The sequence below is a fragment of the Homo sapiens genome, chromosome 3, assembly GCF_000001405.40.
Source record: "Homo sapiens chromosome 3, GRCh38.p14 Primary Assembly".
Classification (NCBI taxonomy): Eukaryota; Metazoa; Chordata; class Mammalia; order Primates; family Hominidae; genus Homo; species Homo sapiens.
Window position 1 is genome coordinate 36,876,121 of NC_000003.12, and position 20,399 is coordinate 36,896,519.

The following is a 20,399-nucleotide window of genomic DNA, read 5'->3' on the forward strand; positions in this document are numbered from 1 at the left end:
AGTATCCATTCTCCCTTTTTCTGAGAACCACCCAGTTTTCCTTTGAGACAGCACCTCCTCTCTCTCAGCCTTACCAGATTTGATGGTGTGAACACCAGACCGACTGACACACACCCCTGTGACAACCACATTCTCTACCATTTCACCAACGCCCAGGTCCAGGGGCTAACACTTAACCAGGATCTGGCCATTCAAATCATTCTGTTCTTCTAGCTCTGTCCCATACCCTCTTCCAGAGGCTAAATCCTGGCCAGGGCCTTGCCAATCAGATCATTCCATTCTTCTGGCTCTAGTGACTGATTGGTTCATAGGGAGGACATGTGACCAAAGTCAGGTCACTAAGACACACTAGGAGCTATTGGGAGGAGGTATCCTCTTTGACTGAGATTGACAAATTGGCAGAAAGTAAGCCTGAAGGTTCTGGTGGCCTTAACTGAAAGACAGCCTGTCTGAAAACGAAACTAACAGAAAGAAGAAATAACCACAAACCGCTACAGATGAAAACAAACAAACCTAACAACTCTCCCAACACCACTTTCAAAATGAACATATCAAACTTGATTTTCATTAGAACATAGTTATTTCTTCACACAACGGAGTAAAAGGCAAGACAGACTCATGAAGACAGCTTTGAAGCAAGCACCTGAACCAAACTCTGGAGTCTTCAGTCGCATGAGACAATAAATTCTCTTTCCTGCCTAAACCAGTTTGAGTGTAGCTTCTAACCAAGACAGATGTAATGATCCAACCTCACTCCTTCAATTTCAGGAGCTAACCATATCTAGACGGGTTCTGCTGCTGCCCAGCTCTGGTGAGTTCCTGAGCCTCTGAAATCTCTATGTACCAGAGCCAATGAGACCATTGTAACAACAAGCACCCACCAAATTACAAACAAAGCTGAAGATTTCTAAGGCCCAACTGACACTGCAATTTTTTCAAATGGGTTTAAAATTTAGGCCAACTTAAATAATCTGGAAAGTTCTTGATTCTCTATGTACCAAACAATACTTAAGAAGGAGATAATAAACCCAGTGTTCAGGCAACATTTCTGGGGTTTAAGTTAGCAATAGCTTTCAAAATCCAAATGCATACCAATAAGCTAGCACATCTTAAACATATACGCTTTTACTTGTACATCATAAAATATTTGCAGAAAAAAATGTAAGATATTAGTAACACTCATTCCTTGCTGCCTAATGGACAGAGTAGAATAGACTCTTGATGTATACATTTTGTACCTTTTGATTTTTTAATATATTTAAAATTTAAATAAAATTAAAATGTATCCAAATAAATAACATGTACAGTTCCTTCAAACAAGAAATTTCTTAACAAGGAAATCATCCTATAGATGCAACCCCACTGATTCACAAACATGTATGTAAAAGAATGGTCTCCAAGCCTTGTTTTCAATTGCAAAATGAACTAAAATACATTTAACCATCTATTAGTATGAGTTGTTAAAAAAATGAAACTGCCATGCAGATACTATTAGGGAAAGATGACTAAGATACATTGTTCAGTGAAGAAAGCAAGTTGCTGAACAGAATGTACAGTGTACCTACATTTATATTTAAAAGGGAAAAAACTGGCATTATACATATACATTACTAGCAAGACTGACAAAAAAAGTTTTAGTAGTTGATTTTGTAGAAAGAGATTTACTTTTTATCACATTCTTTGAAAGTGTCTGAATTTTTTAAAGGAATACAAAACTATTTATTGACCATCGTTCACCAGTATTTTAAATAATAAACAATATACAGTTGGATAACATTCTGATTAATACAAAGTTGTTTTTCCTGGCTTCTGCTGAACCAGTAAAACAAATACTGAAAAGACTAAGCCTACATGTAAGGAATAAGTTGAGGTAAAGAAAAAACATGCGAGTCAATAGTTTAGATCAGGGGTCCCCAACCCCCCAGGTGCTGGTCTGTGGCCTGTTAGGAAGCGGGCCTCACAGTAGGAGGTGTGCAGAGGACAGCGAGCATCACTGCCTGAGCTCCGCCTCCTGTCAGATAAGCAGCAGCATTAGATTCTTATAGGAGTGCAACCCTGTTGTGAACTACGCATGTGAGGGATCTAGGGTCTATGTTGCCACTCTTGAGAATCTAACTAATGCCTGGCAATCTCAGGTGGAACAGTTTCAGCCCAAAACCATCCTCTTCTCCCACCCCCAACTATACCCCACCATCTGTGGAAAAATCGTCTTGCACAAAACCAGTCCCTGGTGCCAAAAAGGTTGGGGACCACTGCTTTAGATTACAAGACTTGGTTCACTCATTTACAGCTGCAGGTCCTAAACTACCAACATCTCTAACCATCTGATTAGTTTCCGTGAGCAACGTCTTAGATAGTCCATGAATCATGACCTTTAGGTCAATGTAGCAACAGGGATTTCAACTTACATGTTCTTACCTGTAAGTGAGGGCTACACAGCTAGAATACTTGGACACCAGGAGGGAAACAACAGACACTAGGGCCTACTTGAGGATGGAGGGTGTAAGGAGGGAGAGGATCAGAAAAAACACTTATCAGGTACTATACGTATTACCCAGGTGATGAAATGATCTTCACACAAAACCCCTATGACATGCAGTTTACCTATATAATAAACCTGCAAAAGTACCCCCCCCGAACCTAAAATGAAAGTTCAAAAAAAAAAAAAAGAAAGAAAAGAAATGGCTCACTAAAAGAAATCTTTTTAAATGCCCATTTAACTGTCTTGTTTAATTAAAACGTACTAGGATTTTCCTAGTTTCCTCATCTGGATAGGGAGGCTGCTGGGTTGTTGGCAACAATAAAATTTTTCTTTAAGGAATTTTGCTAACAAACCATTGCATTTTTATATATAAATGCTTTTAAAATATCAATTTAAATTGTCTGATTAATTAGAATCATTTATTTCACTTGATACACATGGCTTCAGGAAAATTTTCAATTTATCTGGAAGTGATTTATCTCTTACATTGCTCAGAATGATGGCATATTAGAAACATGGGCTTACCTGGGACTTTGGTTTTGGCAATTGTTTAAAAAAAAAAAGAAAGAAAACTATTTACATATGCATTTTATATATACATACACAAAAACAAAACAACCAGAATGATCCTTAGGCTTATGAGAAGCCAAGTTATGATTAATGACTATGAGAATTTTCCCCAACATTTAGAAAATCTGTTCCCTACTGCAGAGGAAATAATATACCATGGTATTGAATGCTCTTTACTGATAAAGGAAGCAACTACAGAGAGCTTTTGTTTCTTTGTTCAAAGTAACCAGTTCTACTGATGAAAAAAAACAACAAACCCAACAACTCTCCCAATACCATTTCAAAATGAACATATCAAACTTGATTTTCATTAGAATGTAGTTATTTCTTCACACTAGCAAATAAAAAACCAAGACCCAGATTTTGTATAAATATATCTATATAAATATATAAATATATAAATATATATAAATATACAAATATATAAATATATATAAATATACAAATATATATAAATATATATAAATATACAAATATATATAAATATATAAATATATATAAATATATAAATATATAAATATATAAATATAAATATAAATATATAAATATATAAATATATATAAATATACAAATATATAAATATATATAAATATATATAAATATATATAAATATGTAAATATATAAATATACAAATATATGTAAATATACAAATATATGTAAATATACAAATATATGTAAATATACAAATATATGTAAACATACAAATATATGTAAACATGCAAATATATGTAAACATGCAAATATATGTAAACATGCAAATATATGTAAACATGCAAATATATGTAAACATGCAAATATATGTAAACATGCAAATATATGTAAACATGCAAATATATGTAAACATGCAAATATATGTAAACATGCAAATATATGTAAACATACAAATATATGTAAACATGCAAATATATATAAACATATATAAATATATATAAACATATATAAATATATATAAACATATAAATATATATAAACATAAATATATATATATATAAAACAATGTGAACAATTACATCATCTTCTGGACGAGAATGCCAAGTTAGTCTTTCTTCATAAAAAGCAATTACAATTTAAGGACCCTTCACACTTGTCTCTTTTGCCAGCATCAAGTTGGCCCCATTTGAGTCTTTCCACCTCATGAGAAACATCGATTCTCCACTGCTGTCTGTGGCACCAATTATTCTTTCAGGATTAAGACCTCTAGCCAGCCCTCTTGGTTTCTCAGCAGCATCTCTTTCCTTTGATTTGCTCTCATCAGATTTACTGTGAGATAAAGTATTTTGTAATTCCTTTTCTTTACTTAATTTGGGAATTAATAAATGCTTCAATTAACTCTGGAGAATCTAAATTTTCTTCAGGTAACCAAGCATTGTATCATGACGTTCTTCCATCTGTAGGTCTGTAGCATCTGTAAATCCCTTCCACTTGAGGAAATAATCCACTTTCCCTTTCACTACACATCAATCTACTACTTTTTCCACCACAAATTCTCCAACTTTTTTACTCTTTCCATTCTGTTTCTTTCCCCTTGTTTGCAATGTAGTTTAATTGGAGGCCATTTTCTTTTATTATTATTATTATTATTATACTTTCAGTTTTAGGGTACATGTGCACAGCGTGCAGGTTTGTTACATATGTATACATGTGCCATGTTGGTGTGCTGCACCCATTAACTCGTCATTTAGCATTAGGTATATCACCTAATGCTATCCCTCCCCCCTCCCCCCACCCCACAACAGTCCCCGGTGTGTGATGTTACCCTAATTGGAGGCCATTTTCTTATTGCAGACTTGAAGAGCCACTATTCACTGCCTCTCAGCTGTTCTGGGTCATGGGTCTGTGGCATCTACAACCCTGTGCACCTTAAATTCAAGCCACATCCAATGAACTTTTTTTTATCAAAAACATGAACTTTCAATATTTTTCCCCTTTAAAATATTTTTTCCATTGAGATACAGCTCATATAACATAAAATTCATTCTTTTAAAGTGTATTATTTGCCCGGGTGTGGTAGCTCACACCTGTAATCCCAGGACTTTGGGAGGCCGAGGAGGGCAGATCACCTGAGCTCAGGAGTTCAAGACCAAACTGGCCAACATGGTAAAACCCCATCTCTACTAAAAATACAAAAATTAGCCAGGCATGGTGGCATGCGCCTGTAGTCCCAGATACTGGGGAGGCTGAGGCAGAATGGCGTGAACCCAGGAGGCAGAGCTTGCAGTGAGCAGAGATCGCACCACTGCACTCCAGCCTGGGTGACAGAGCAAGACTCCGTCTCAAAAAAAAAACAAAATTAGCCAAGCATGGTGGCACATGCCTGTAGTCTCAGCTACTTGGGATGCTGAGGCAGGAGAATCGCTTGAACCCAGGAGGCAGAGGCTACAGTAAGCCGAGATCACATCACTGCACTCCAGCCTGGGCAACACAAGGAGAATCTCTCTCAAAAATAAATAAATAAATATAAACTATATAATTTAATTAGTTTTAGTATATTTATGAAGTTGTACAACCATCACCACTGTCCAATTCCAGAACATTTTCATCACCCCTAAAATAAATCTCATACACATTAAGTCATTCTCTACTCCCCTTCCCAAACCCCTGGCAACCAGTAATCTACTTTCTGTCTCTAGGGATTTCCTTATTCCGGACATTTCATATCAACGGAATCACACAACACATGGTCTTTTTTGTCTGCTTCTTTCACCTAGCATAACGCAATCTTCCTCCGTGTTGTAGCATGTATCAGTACTTCCTTTTTATGGTTGAATAATATTCCCTTGTATGGATATGGCATATTTTGTTTATCCATTCCTCAGTTGATAGAGATTTGGGTTGTTTCCACTTTTCTGGCTATTATGAATAATGCTGATATGAATAATCATGTACAAGTTCTTATTTGGGCATGTTTACCTTCTCCTGGTATATACCTATGAGTGACAGATTTGGTCTTCTGGTAACTGTTTAACTTTCTGAGCAACTGTCAAACTGTTTTCCAAAGCAGATGCACCATTTTTCTTACCCACCAGCAATGTATGAAGGATCCAAGTTTTCCACTTCCTTGTCAACATTTGTTGTTATCTTTTTTTATTTTAGTCATCCTGGTGGGTATAAAGTGTATCTAAAATTTTTAAACTGGTTTTTAGAAAGGTGATTCAAAGACTCCTACAACACATGAATAGGCAAAGAGATAAACAGAATAGAACAGGAAGTTCAGCATTAGTGACATCTCCAATTACTGAGGTTAAGACAGACTTTTAAATAAATAGTGCAGAGACAAATAGGTAATTATTTGGAAAAAAAAGTAAAGCTAGATTCTTATAATAAACTACAATGGACCAAGAATCTAAATGTAAAAAAATGAAACACTACAGGCACCTGAAGAAAATACAGGTGAATTCTTCTTTAACTTTGGTGTAAGGAAAGACTTTGTTAACTCCAAATCTGGGGGCAATAAACAATAGATTGATAAATCTGACTACATAAAAAGAAAACCAAATTGCATGACAAAAAACAACAAAGTCAGAAGACAACTGACAAACCGGGAGAAAATAATTGCAGTATATACCACAGACAAGAGCTAATGAGCGAAGAATTCTTAAAAATTGAGGACAAAGGACCAAAAACCATAAAGAAAAATGGGAAAGAGACATGAACATATAATTCATAGTAAAAGATATTAAAGTGATTCTTAAACACATTCTTAAAAGTTCAACCTCACACATAATTAGAGAAATGCAAATTAAAACGATACTGGAAGAACAATTCTCACCTATTGGACCAGAAAACCTTTTAAAATAAGACAACAAATTCTACTGGTGAGACTGTTGTGAGAGAAGCACCCTCATACATTGTCGGTGGTAACGCAAATTGGTACAACCCTCTCCTAGATGAAAAGTTGATAATATCTAACAAAACTACATAAGCATTTATACATATGAATTAATATGGAGTGATTTCCAGGACATACTCTCAGTGAAAAAAATCAGGCAAGGTGCAATGGCTCATGCCTGTAATCTCAGCATTTTGTGAGACCAAGGCAGGCAGATCACTTGAGCCCAGGAGTTTGAGACCAACCTGGAAAACATGGCAAAACTCTGTCTCTACCAACAACAACAGCAAAAAAAATAGTGGGGCATGGTAGCACATGTCTAGTCTTAGCTACTCAGGAGGCTGAGGTGGTAGGATCGCTTGAGCCCGGGTGGGTGAGGCTGCAGTGAGCCAAGACTGCACCACTGCATTCCAGACTGGGTGATAGAGTAAGACTCTGTCTCAAAAAAAAAAAAAAACGCAGAGAAAAGAAAAGAGAAGAAAGAAAAAAGAAAACGTGCCAAAGAGTATCTATATAATGTAACTCTTCATGCAAAAAAAAAAAAGGGAGCTATAAGAAAATAGCATGTGTGTGTTCATTGCTGCAAAAGAAATCCAGAAAGAATAGGCCTGAAATTAAAGAAACTGATTATCTATAAGGCTGGATGGGCAGGCGGCAGAAAGGAGGAGGAAATGGAAATGGCCAGGGTGCAAGGATGAGACGGAAGTGACATTTCTTTAAGCCTATCTTTTGTAAAGTTCTGACTCCTAGAACCATGGTAATATTTCACATGCCCTTCATATACCCAAAATATAAACAAAATCAAACAGGATGTGGGGCAAATCCTAAAATGGAATACAAACACTAAAAAAATGAGTTTGAGTGTCCTACAAATTACTAACAAAACCATGGTAAAGGGAGTGGGAAAGAAAAGAACTACCAGTATCTTAACAGGATGCTCTAAGGCTAAAGACAAAAAACACTGAATATAAATGAACATAAAGTGAATATAAATCTAGTCAGTAAATGTGTTTCTCACAGAGGTATTATGGGTTACCTAGTCTGAAATTCATAGACTGAATAAGTAAATATATTGTAGATGAACAATATTACAAATAAAAAGGGCTGAATGATCATGGTGTTTGGACTGGAATCAGAGATATCAGTATAAACTCATGGTTTTTAACATAGACATATGCAGAGAGATACAATAATACAGATGTAGTATCATCGGTTAGTGCACATACATGTATGTCCTAGCTCTTATCTGCCAAAAAGTCCTAGAAACAATGACACTCCGCTTCGCAATGGCATACCTAGTACCAGATCTTGTTTCCTCTAACATTCTCCAATAGGAACCAGGGATCCTTAGAGAAGTGGTTGATTCCAGGGCTGGGACAGGGACCACGCAATATGAACCTGGAACACCTTGTGGTGTCTGAAAGTAAGGAAGTGCTCAAGGGGACTTTTTGAAGGAACACAGGAGCCAGTCTGAAGGAGTGCCTTATGGCTAAAGCTGGAGCAACGTTAGCAACAAAATAAATAATCATACCATTGGATTTTATCCCATAGAATAAAATAAACATCCGAGTCCATACTGAAATCATTATATAATTGAATATACAGGGAGAAGGAACAGCTCTTCATTACATAAGAATTCCAAGCAATAGGCCAGGCGTAGTGGCTCACGCCTGTGATCACAGCACTTTGGGAGGCCCAGGCAGGTGAATCACGTGAGGCCAAGAGATTGAGACCACCCTGGCCAACATGGTGAAACCCTGTCTCTACTAAAAACACAAAAATTAGCTGAGCATGGTGGCACACACCTGTAATCCCAGCTACTCATGAGGCTGAGGCAGGAGAATCGCTTGAACCCGGGAGGCGGAGGCTGCAGTGAGCTGAGATCGCGCCACTGCACTCCAGCCTGGAGACAGAGCAAGACTCTGTCTCAGAAAAAAAAAAAAAAAAATTAAACAATAAATGTAGACAGAAGGAAGAAAAATTTTAAATTAATGTTAATCAAAGACCATAGTAATACCTGTAGCTGTCAAGATCTACCAATAGATACCAAAATTGGTGGGCAGAAGTTTGAGAAGAAACAGGGTATATGCAGTTTCAAAGTATCCCCTCCAAGATACTCATTAACTACAAAAGAAAAGATAGTAATTTTACAGTGGAGAAGCCCCACACATCACAAATAATCAAGGTTAACAAATAATCAAATAATCAAGGTTAACATGATAAGAAGTATTGACATCATGAACCCCTTGGTACGATTCACTGAGGATACAAAATCATTTCTGTAATATTCTCACCAAAAACACATAACTTCATTCCAGTCATAACAAAATATCAAACAAACCAAAATTGATAGATAGTCTACCAAATAACTGACTACTACTCTCTGAAAGGGTCAAGGTAACAAAAGGCAAGGAAAGACTGAGGAATGGTCACAGACTACAGAACACTAAGGAGACATGAAAACTAAATGCAATGTGGGATCCTGGAACAGAAAAGGTACGTTAGTGAAAAAGCTAGCGAAACTCATATGAGGTCTGTATATTATTTTTTAGAGACAGGGTCTCAGTCAACTGACTGGGCTGAATGCAGTAGCACGATCGTAGTTCACTGCAGGCTCAAACTCCTGGGCTCAAGCCATCCTCCCATCTCAGCCTCCTGAGTAGCTAGGACTACAGGCCTGTGCCACCACACCCAGCTAATTTTTTTATGTTTATTTTTATAGAGACAGGCTCTCACTATGTTGCCCAGGCTGGTCTCGAACTCCTGGGTTCAAGTGATCCTCCTATCTTGGCCTCCCATAGTGCTGGGATTACAGGCAGGAGGCACTGTGCTGGCCTAAACTTTGATTATACAGCATGCTAACTTTATGTGGAGGCTGGGTGAGGGGAGTACAGAAAATCTCTGAACCATTTTTGTAACTTTTCTATAAGTCTAAAATTAGTTCAAAATAAAACATTTTTAAAAATATTCCCTGATGAAAAAGAAGATGAAGAGGGTATGGGAGAAAGCAGAAGAAGAAGGAGCCTGTGAGAGTTGAGAAGCCTCATTCGTTGGAGGTCATAGTGGCAGCCTATGTTGACATCTCTAATTGAAGGAAGAAAAGGCCCTTCTTTTTTTGTTGTTGTTGTTTTTTTTTTTTTTTTTTTTTTTGAGACAAGTACTTGCTCTGTTGCCCAGGCTGGAATGCAGTGGCACAATCTTAGCTCACTTCAACCTCCGCCTCCCAAGTTCAAGCGATTCTCCTGCCTCAGCCTCCCAAGTAACTGGGACTACAGGTGCCCACCACCACTCCCAGTTAATTTTGCCATGTGGCCCAGGCTGGTCTCAAATTTCTGGTCTCAAGTGATCCACCCACCTTAGCCTCCCCCAAAGTGCTAGGATTACAGGCATGAGCCACCACACCCAGCCAGCCCTCTCTTTACGTTTTATCCTCCCAACTTTCAGAAAGTTGAAAGGGTTTCTGTGTTTATAAGAAATAGTATAAAATTGTTATTCTAAGCCACATACAGTTTAGAGTGTAAGCCACATATGGCTATAGAGCACTTGAAATGCATGATGAGGTGTGGTGAAAAGAGTGAAACATGCTGGATTTCAAAGACAGTACAAAACAAAAAATAAAGAGAAAAATGGCCTGGCACGGTGGCTCATGCCTGTAATCCCAGCACTTTGGGAGGCTGAGGCTGGCGGATCACAAGGTCAGGAGATCGAGACCATCCTGGCTAACGTGGTGAAACCCCATCTTTACTAAAAATACAATAAATTAGCCGGGCATAGTAGCACGCATCTGTACTCCCAGCTACTTGGGAGGCTGAGGTAGATCTTGAAAGCTACAGGTATTACTATGGTCTTTAATTAATGTTGATTTAAAATTTTTCTTCCTTCCACCTACATTTTTTGTTGGATTTTTTTTTTTTTTTTTTTTGAGACAGAGTCTCGCTCTGTTGCCCAGGCTGTTGTGCAGTGGCGCAATCTCAGCTCACTGGAAGTTCCGCTTCCTGGGTTCAAGCCATTCTCCTACCTCAGCCTCCCGAGTAGCTGGGACTACAGGCGCATGCTACTATGCCACATGGATGTCAGGATACCTGGAGATGTGTTTTTTGTAAATCAAAGAGTCAGACAGGAACTATTTTTTTATTGAAGATTTGCAAGGTAGAGATACGTAAAGAGGGCACAATGATTGATGTGGCACATTCTTTAACCATAAATTACTAGGCTAATGTTAGCTTTAGCACAGTGGTATGCTAAGACCCAGTTCATATCAGTTCACAAGAGCCAATTGTTTAATGTCCAGAAATGTTGCAAGCTGGTTGATAAAAATTCAAATAAAAAATTATATGACAAACAAAACCCATCACTTCCTAATAATTTTTACTACATTTTGCTATTATCTATGATGAGGTTTCTTTACATCTATCTTAAAATGTATCTGTATACTAAAAATAAAATATAATAACGTCCCACCACACATCTCTTCCCAACTCTGTGTTGCATGACATCACATTGGTACCATGAATTATGCCACCATGGGAGTATTTCCAAGCTGGTCCAACCCATGGCCCACACAAATTCGTAAATTTTCTTAAAACATTGTGAGATTTGTGCACGGACCTTCTTTTATTTTTAAGCTCATCAGCCATCGTTAGCGTTACTGTATTTTATGTGTGGCCCAAGACAATTCTTATTCCAATGTGGCCCAGGGAAGCCAAAAGATCAGACACCCCTGATTATACCAAGGAACTCAAGAAATGCTACAATTCTGAGCTTCTGTCTTGAAGAGCTAGTTGTTTGCCAGAATATCACTGTCTTTGAGAAGGGACTAAAACACAGAAAAATCAAAAGAACAGATAATAAATAACAAGGGTTAGGATGTGAAGAAGCTGGAATCGTCATACACTGCTGGTGGCACTGTAAAATGGTACAGCCACTTTGGGAAACAGTCTGGCAGTTCCTCAAAAGGTTAAACATAGTGTTACCATATGATCCGGCAATTCTACTCCTGGGTATCTAGCTGGGAAAAATGAAAACAAATGCCCTGTACACAAATATTTACAGCAGCATTATTCATAATAGCCAGAAAGTGGAAACAACCCAAACGCCCATCAACTGAAGAATGAATAAACAAAATGTGGTATATTTATACAATAGACTATTATTTGGCAATAAAAAGGAATTAAGTATTGATTCATTCTACAACACGGATAAACCTTGAAAATATGCTGGTGAAAGAAGCCAGTCACAAAAGGCCTTATATTCTATGATTCCAGTTACATGAAATATCCAGAATAGGCAAATCCATAGAGACAAAAAGTGGTGATTGCTTAGGGCTTGGAGATGGGAGAAACAGAATGACTGCTAATGGATGTGGGGTTTCTTTTTAGGATAAAAATGTTCTAAAATGTATTGTGATGTTACTTGCTCAACTCTGAATAGATCAAAAAGCATTTAACTGTACACTTTAAACAGGTAAATTATATAGTATATGAATAATATTTCAATAAAGCTCAAAAATCCATAGACCCCTTCTCCTTTGTTTCCCTAGATATAGGTTCCTAGGTCCCAGTTCAGTGGGAATGACATTAGAGAAACAAGCCTCGCTGGGCTCCTCCTGAGAGATGCTGAAGAGAGGAAACTGCAGTTTCCTACGAGTAACCCACCAGACCAGAAGTCCCCAAAAGGAGGCCTTCAGGCTGGTTCTAGTTAACAGGCATGTTTAAATCTGAGCAGACAGCTGAAAAATCACAAGATTCCACAGTTTTAAAAAATCCAGATTTCTGGCCAGGCATGGTAGCTCATGCCTGTATCCCAGTACTTTGGGAGGCCGAGGCAGGTGGATCACTTGAGGTCAGGAGTTCAAGAACAGCCTGGCCAACAGAGCTACTAAAGTTACAAAAATTAGCTGGGCATGGCGGTGTTTGCCTGTAATCCCAACTACTCAGGAGAGGCTGAGGCAGGAGAATCCCTTGAACCTGGGAAGCGGAGGTTGCAGTGAGCCAAGATTGTGCCACTGCACTCCAGCCTGGGCGACAGAGTGAGACTCCATCTCAAAAAAAATCCAGATGTCCAACATCTCTTGCCATGAGAAGATGACAGCCCAGCCTGGTTCCTATGATCAGCTCCAGGCTGCAGCAGCACGAGGCACAAGCTCCTCACCACTCCCTGTCACCTCCCTTCCACAGAGGCTGAGAGTCCACTGTATGTTCTTCTCTATCCCAAACAGAAAGCAAAAACTGAGGGGTCTGAGAGTTTCAAGAAAAATGAGTGACATCAGAGAGCTCTGAGAGAGTGAACACAGCCTTCCTGCTTCCCAGGCTAACATGGTGCACCGGTGTCAGAAGAACCAGCTTTTCCTTGCATGTGCAAGCCTCACTCGCTCATGTGCCTAGTCTGGCCCCAGCAGGTATGGGAAGATGCAATCCCTGTGTTAGATTCTAAGTGCCATGAAGGCAGAACCATGTGCAGTTCAGTTCACAATTCCTCTCTACCAGCTAACACAGATTTGGCATAAAATAAAATGAGTAACCATGTGATGAAGGAGGGAACAAAGGCAGCCAGGAGCCCATGTTCTTGAATGATTCAACCCCACAGAAGCCATTTCAAGGTGAAAGAGCTCCTGAAGCCCAGCAATTCTTCTTTCTCTCACCTCACCTTCTTTCTGCATTACAGCTTACCCACCCACCCACCAAAATCAAGTTTAGTTCAAGGGGAAGTTTAGCCCTCTGAGCCAGCTAGGGATAGAATGGGTAAAACAAGGCAGTCGGTGGTGTGGGTCCTCAAAGCCTGACACCAGCCAGCCACAGCGCACCCTCTGGGTAATGCCACTACTCACGCTTAACGAGGTATCCTGGGGAGTGGGCAGCGACGACGTGCAGGACAGTGCAGCCATCCCCATCCTTCTGGTTAATGCGGCCTTTCCACTCGGGCTTGTGATCCATTAACCACCGGAAAAGATGGTTTTCTCCTGAAGGGAATTAAAATGACTTACTAATGTTTTCCACATACAGAAAGTCAGCAAAGTTAATTTGTGCAGAAGCAATAGATTAAAAAGAAAGAAAGAAAATCAGCAAAGCAAGTCAGTGTGGACCACGCTAAGGTAACCAAATGAGGAATCCAACATACGTTTCCACTCACCACAAACAGGTGTGGGGAGATGCAGGCGTTTGTCAAGTGAGAGGATGAGTTATAGAAAGCTACCCATAATCATCGTAGGTCAGGTTCCCTAGAAGCCTGAGACAGGGATTCTTATACATGTGACTGAGCAAGAGATAGCATGAGAGAGAGCAAGGGAGGCAGGACAGGTAGGGGAAGCAGCTAAGCAAGGTTGTGATCCTAGTAGGGTCACTCCAGCCTGACCTCATGAGCAGCCCTGCAGCAGGAATGCACCACAGCCTGGAGCCACCTTGAGGCACTGGGGCTGGCCTTTTGAATCCCCATGTCAGTCAATCAAGAGCTACAGAATGCACTCAGGGAGAGGCAAGGTCCAGAGAGAACCTCTCTGGGAAGTGGTTTCTGTTGACAAAGAGCAACTCTCTGCCCAAGGGGCCAGCTGTGGGTTGTTAGCAGCTAACATTGACAACAGGTGGGGGTGAGGGGGTTGGTGGCAAAGAGGATCTGGGTGAGGCACAACAGCCTCCACTTTAATAATCAAGCCAGTATCTCTGATAAGATTACCCTACTACATTACTATCAATAAGACATATATATTGAATTCTTTTCCCAGACTCCTTCCTTGGAGTTCCTGAGATCTAGGAAAGCCACGCACCTCTGCCAACTCTTTGGATGCCAATTTGTCACCATGTCAGAGTTCTCTGAGAAACAAATCAATGATTAAAACGTACCACCTTGAAGGCTCAATCTTACTGATACCACCTATAATCACAGGAACTAACTTAAAAGTAGACACAATGGGGAATCATGACATTCATAACCAGAGCCACGCTTCTCTGCATTCCAGTTTCCTCACTTGAAACTGGGAGGATTAGATTGCGTAGCTTTCAATCAGGCTTTACTTTTAAATGTTTTATCTACCAATCTCTGTGTAAGAATAAAATCTCTTGGCCAGGCATGGTGGGGCTCACGCCTGTAATCCCAGCACTTTGGGAGGCTAAGGCGGGTGGATCACTTGAGATCAGGAGTTTGAGACCAGCCTGGCCAACATGGTGAAACCCCATGTCTACTAAAAACACAAAAATTAGCCAGGCGTGGTGGCGGGGGCCTGTAATCCCAGATACTCGGGGGGCTGACGCAGGGGAATCGCCTGAACCCAGGAGGCAAAGGCTGCAGTGAGCCAATATCACGTCACTGCACTCCCCCAGCCTGGGCAATGGAGTGAGACTCAGTCTCAAAAAAAAAATCTCTTATAAATTCCCCACTATATGAAATGAATAACACCAGGACAAATCTGGCTAAAGCAAAGACAGGGGTCCCAGGCCTCAAGCCCATGGCCACCTCCCACACCCCCATTCCTGGGGAGATGATACAGCCTACAAGAGGTAGACTAGACAAGTTCTCTCGGCCCTTTCTGGCACTAAACTGCTATGGGTGAATGTCCCACAGTGCTGCTACGTGTGCTTGGAAAGAAAAACAAACTTCTATCTAAAGTGTGAGTGTGTGCATATGTGTGTGTTAATGATAAAATAAAAATATTTTTAAAGTTAAAGCCTATAACCAGATGGCAAAGCTTAAAAAAGAATTTCATGAAAATAGCAGTCCTTTAAAAGAAGCACAGCCAAACTGTATCAGCAACAGCTCATGTCTCCCTTGGGATACCCCCAGCCAAGGGACTATGTTCTGTGTCCCACAACACAGCCGTCAACCCTAGAGTGAAAATGAACCGAGAGAAATAGACCAAAGCTGCCTATGCCGGAAGGAGGAAACTCTGCAGGTCTCCTGGGAGTGTTGCCCAGCAACAGCTGTCTGTCCTAAGTCCCTTCCATGGGTCCCAGGGCTCCATCCTCCTGCCAGGATCTGCCTAGAGTCACAGAATCCTTTCCGTTTGGACCTCCTGCAGCTACTAGGTGCCAGGAAAGATAAAAATGATACTATTTTCCTGCTGCTTCATTCATTTGAATAATCAGATCATTTGAATATTCAAATGGTCTGCATTCAAGTGGCTTAATTCTAGTTTCACTTGAGCTCAACAGAGTTCCAGAACTAGGCTAGAAGGGCAGCTTGGAGGGTGGAAAACTGGGAGAAGACTCACTGGCTTGGATACAGAGTCGCATGAGGGCATGAAGGGGATACGGTCCTATAGTCTCAACACTTGCACCAATGGAGATGAGCCACTGGACTAACTTGGGCACTTGTTCCATCTTCTCATAAAGTCCAATGAAAACGTATTTCTGGGGAAAAAAAACACACAGGACAAATTATGGAAGTCACTAATCAATATGAAGCTTCAAACTCCTTTACCCATAAAGTATGGAATCAGTAAAACTTGGATTAGCTGTGGTCCAAGCCTAGGATTATTATAAATAACAAATTTGTGGTAAGGCAGCTGAAGGAGAAAGTACAAGACACAAGGAAGTGTATGTTTCAAGAAATCGCCTTGCGAGGCGCAGTGATTCACGCCTATAATCCCAGCACTTTGGGAGGCCAAGGTGGCCGATCACCTGAGGTCAGGAGTTCAAGACCAGCCAGGCCAACATGGCGAAACCCCATCTTTACCAAAAAATACAACAATTAGCCGGGCACTGTGGTAGGCGCCTGTAATCCCAGCTATTCGGGAGGCTGAGGCAGGGAGAATTGCTTCAACCCAGGAGGAGGAGGTTACAGTGAGCTATCATGCCACTGCACTCCAGCCTGGGCGAAAGGGCGAGACTCAGTCTCAAAACAAAACAAAACAAAACAAAACATATATATATATATATATAGATATATATAGATATATATATCACCTTACCTCAAAGAGACTTTTCAGTGATAACTCTGGGACATGAATATTTCTTGGTAATCGGTCTTTTTTTGCTGACAGAAGCAGAAATGACTGGTGGGAGAAGACAGAAAAGGCTGGAATAATAATGTTCTCCACATAGGTTATTAAAGCAAAAAAGTTATTTTAAGCTTTAAAACAAGCAAATAAAAAAAAACCACTCTCTAGCCTTGTCTTTTTTTAAAGTGCTTGCCAAGTTTTTCAGCTATTTGCTGTGACAATTAAAGTCTCTGTCTAGCCAACTTCCTGTTCCTGCTGAGGACTAAGGCCCCTCCACACTTCCTCAAAGCCTGCTGAGGACAGGAGCAGATGATGTCATGTAGCATTTCACAGCATAGTTGCAATGAGATTACAAAAAAAAAAGAGTAATTCCCTGCCAAGTTCTTAAGGCTTAGCAAGTGGAAGACTCAAATCCTTTAGAAATATCCCATCCCAATCAATTATTCCTCACATCAGCGTTTTAAAAGCCCCAAGTACTTGGAGCCCATTAGACCCTGTCAATGGTGTGCTGCAGCCGGCTCCTATCAGCTACTGAGTTGATGATGCACATCTCCTCCTAACTCCAAGTCTTGTATGTCATATTAGTAGCTGGAAATTGGCCATGGTGAGAGTATTTATACTACCAAAGTTAGCAAATGCTACAAATCGGGACCTTTTCTTTTCAGAGACCCAGTTGTTAAACTACTGACCCTATCTAAAGTTGCTGAAGAGACTAAATCCCAGAGAAGTTAAGCCAGTTTTCACAGGTCTCACAGCACATCTTGAGAAGCCCCTACTGAGATCATTCAGGTATGCTAACAGATCTAAGAATTCCCGGCTCTGTTATGACCATGACTGGAGACCCAGTCTCAGCTCCAGCCTCTCTCATGTATGGCTTTTGCCAGTGGACTTAGGACCACAGGAACTGAGCCCATGGCCACATCTCACTTCTAGTTTCTTTCAGATTGATACCCATTCTTTTTTTTTTTTTGAGACAGAGTCTCACTCTTGTTGCCCTGGCTAGAGTGCAGTGGTGCAATCTCAGCTCACTGCAACCTCTGTGATGCCCATTCTTAACTTTTTGCCCTAAACAAGCCTCGCTGCCCACACTCAACCCCACATGATAAGTTCAGCATTCTAGTGGGCAGATTGCTGGCCTTTTAAAAGATGCTTCTGTCTGCAGTATTTGGGAATTACCAGAGCCTCACTGCAGGTAGGATGTTGGACCTGCCACTTGGGCTGGATTCCTGGGCCCTCCCTTGACTGGCTGGGATAATAATCTATTAGGAGTTGCCTGTCTCCCATTCTCTCATTCTCTGCCTAGGCCATGGAGCTCTATTCATATCCACCCCACACTGGGAAGAGAGGACAAGGTTCTTTCCCTGAGTGCAGTAAATTAAACTATCTTCCTGCTAATGAGGCCTAAGGCCTCCTGCTCACAGATCTACCCTAGCACTTGGAATCACAGAATTTCAAAACTTTTTAAAAAATAAAGCTGGAAGGATCCTTATAAATCTCTTAGGCCAGCTACCTTATCCCAGGAGAAAATATCTCAAATGTCTTTTAATGGGACCCTGGATTTCTGACTACTGGTTCCCCAAGAGTTCAGTCTGCCTTCCTCAACCCTGCTGCCTGCCCTCCCAAGATTTTTTAATACAGGGGTAAGCTTCAGGGAGCCCATGGCTGGACTCCAGGAGGTTTCCCATGAACCCCCTGAAACTATACACATAATTGTCAGTGCATGACAAGAGAGCCCCACAGATTTCATTCGATTTCCAACAGAATCCATTACCTTGCCCAAAATTTAAGAATTCTCTATTCTAAAGTCATCCAACCTGCTAGGATCAGGAGTCCTTAATAGGTTGCCCTTGTTTTTGGTGACTTTTCTGGACTGCCCAGCTTTTGAAAGCCCAGGAGGGCTGTTCTAACCAAATTCGTAGCTTGGCCAGCCCATTCTCATGAGCACTTATAGCCTATCACCAATGACGACTACTATTCACTGGGCACTTAGAATATGCCAGGTATTATAAAACCCCTCAGCTCAATGCCTGGCACTGTAAACCTTCCACAAACATTACCTGATAGGTGCTCTTGTCCATTATTTCTGATCTCACCAAAACTCTGAAGAAATAGGTTTATATAATGCAACTTACAAATGAGGAAATAAGACTCAAAGGGGAAGTAATTAGCCCAAAATAGTAAGTGGGGGATTCTGATTCAAGGACACATCTGTGTGACACTGAAGCCCAGACCTCCACAGTCCACTCACTCCTCCATTCCATGGATTCCTGGCCCTGGGTTCAGGTCCTACAACCTCACTTAGCCACTACCCAAATGTTAGCAGCCCCTCAAAACCACATGGGAACCCTTGTGAGCAGCCCAGATAGGTCATCCGGGAACACACTAGCTAAAGCAGTATAAAAAAGGATTGTGAAAATGAACACACAGCTTTGTTTTTCTCATTCCATATTACCATTAGCATCTGTACTTTACATTTCTTTGATGACAGTGGAGACACAGATCTAAGCGTTTTTCCCATTTTTAAAAATAAATGGAAACTGGCTAATTAATCTATCTCAAAGACTTTTCATCTTTAATGATATCCTAGTTAAAAATTTACCCTGGCATCAAGATCAACAAATAATAAATTACAATCCCTCAATGCCAATGGAAAGGAATCATTTCATCAAGAATGTACTCTCCCCGTGAGAGCCATCTCCTTTTACTTACATGCCATAATCCTTTCTTTGCCAACTTTTCTATTACAGATTGCCACACTTCTGTTGGGAATCCAGTTGTGAAAATATGATCAAAGCAAGGCAAGAAACTTTGCAAAACAATGGAGTCACCTAAAAGAAAGTTTCATAATTTAGGGATTTTAATGTGGGGAAAGTCTACAGCATTTGGGAAAAGGTCCTCCAATTAAGTTCACACATAGACAAATGGTAAATTAAAGATACCCTAAAGAAAGGCATTTTCAAAGTAGTATGAAGTCCTTTATAATTGGTTGAAGTGGCAATTATTTTCAGTTCATCATAAAATCAATCCCCTAAGAGTTAGGCAGGATAATTAACATTCGCTTTGCCTTTCTAGTTGCCAAGCCCAGTGATATGTGCTTATGTTCAATACCTCAAATAAACCACTAAGGAAGTGCCTATTATCTCCACTTATAGAGGAGGAAATGGAAGCTTAAGTTACAAAACTCACTTCCTTTAAGAAAAATGTGACAAATATTGTTACCCAAAACATTAGAAACTATGACAAATGAAGATAGGTTTCATGGCATATCATGCAGTTAGTTCATGACAAGAAACAAGACTGGAACCCAGATCTACCAACTCTTGTCATCAATACACATTCTTCTGACCTGGTGGCCCATCGACCTATTGCACCTGGTGATCCTCCAACCATATTTCTCAAATTCATGGATGAGAATGTCCAAGGGGACAGGTCAAGACTCAGAATAACTTGGCACCTCTTCCAAGGTTATTAATTTCAAAAAATAAGTAAATATCAAAACAAACGCATACTATATGAAATGACACAAAGTTTCCCATAAATATGTTTTTCAAAATTTAGAAACTGGGCGACGCCAATTTCTTTACCTTCC

At 40.2% G+C, this 20,399-nt stretch overlaps 1 protein-coding gene and 1 pseudogene across 13 annotated transcripts in view, besides 1 other annotated feature; both read right to left on the minus strand.

Annotated features, from left to right (window-relative positions):
- The window catches only part of TRANK1 (tetratricopeptide repeat and ankyrin repeat containing 1), a 118,926-nt gene that overhangs the window by 49,302 nt on the left and 49,225 nt on the right, over positions 1-20,399 (minus strand). For 12 of the 13 annotated variants that reach the window (XM_017007570.2, NM_014831.3, XM_047449328.1 and 9 more), the window contains 4 exons: positions 19,520-19,638; positions 16,781-16,864; positions 16,082-16,220; positions 13,709-13,840 (listed from right to left, as the gene is read on the minus strand). In XM_017007570.2, the coding sequence (XP_016863059.1) occupies positions 13,709-13,840; positions 16,082-16,220; positions 16,781-16,864; positions 19,520-19,638 (474 nt within the window). The remainder of the gene's footprint in view (positions 1-13,708; positions 13,841-16,081; positions 16,221-16,780; positions 16,865-19,519; positions 19,639-20,399) is intronic. The other variant, XM_047449330.1, reaches the window with a different exon arrangement.
- Positions 489-658: an enhancer, noted in NCBI's record as "active region_19661". NCBI's record gives its function as "activates an Ori minimal core promoter by ATAC-STARR-seq in GM12878 lymphoblastoid cells {active_cell/tissue: GM12878}" and the evidence as "EXISTENCE:reporter gene assay evidence [ECO:0000049][PMID:35858748]".
- On the minus strand, positions 2,277-4,609 carry CBX3P10 (CBX3 pseudogene 10; annotated as a pseudogene).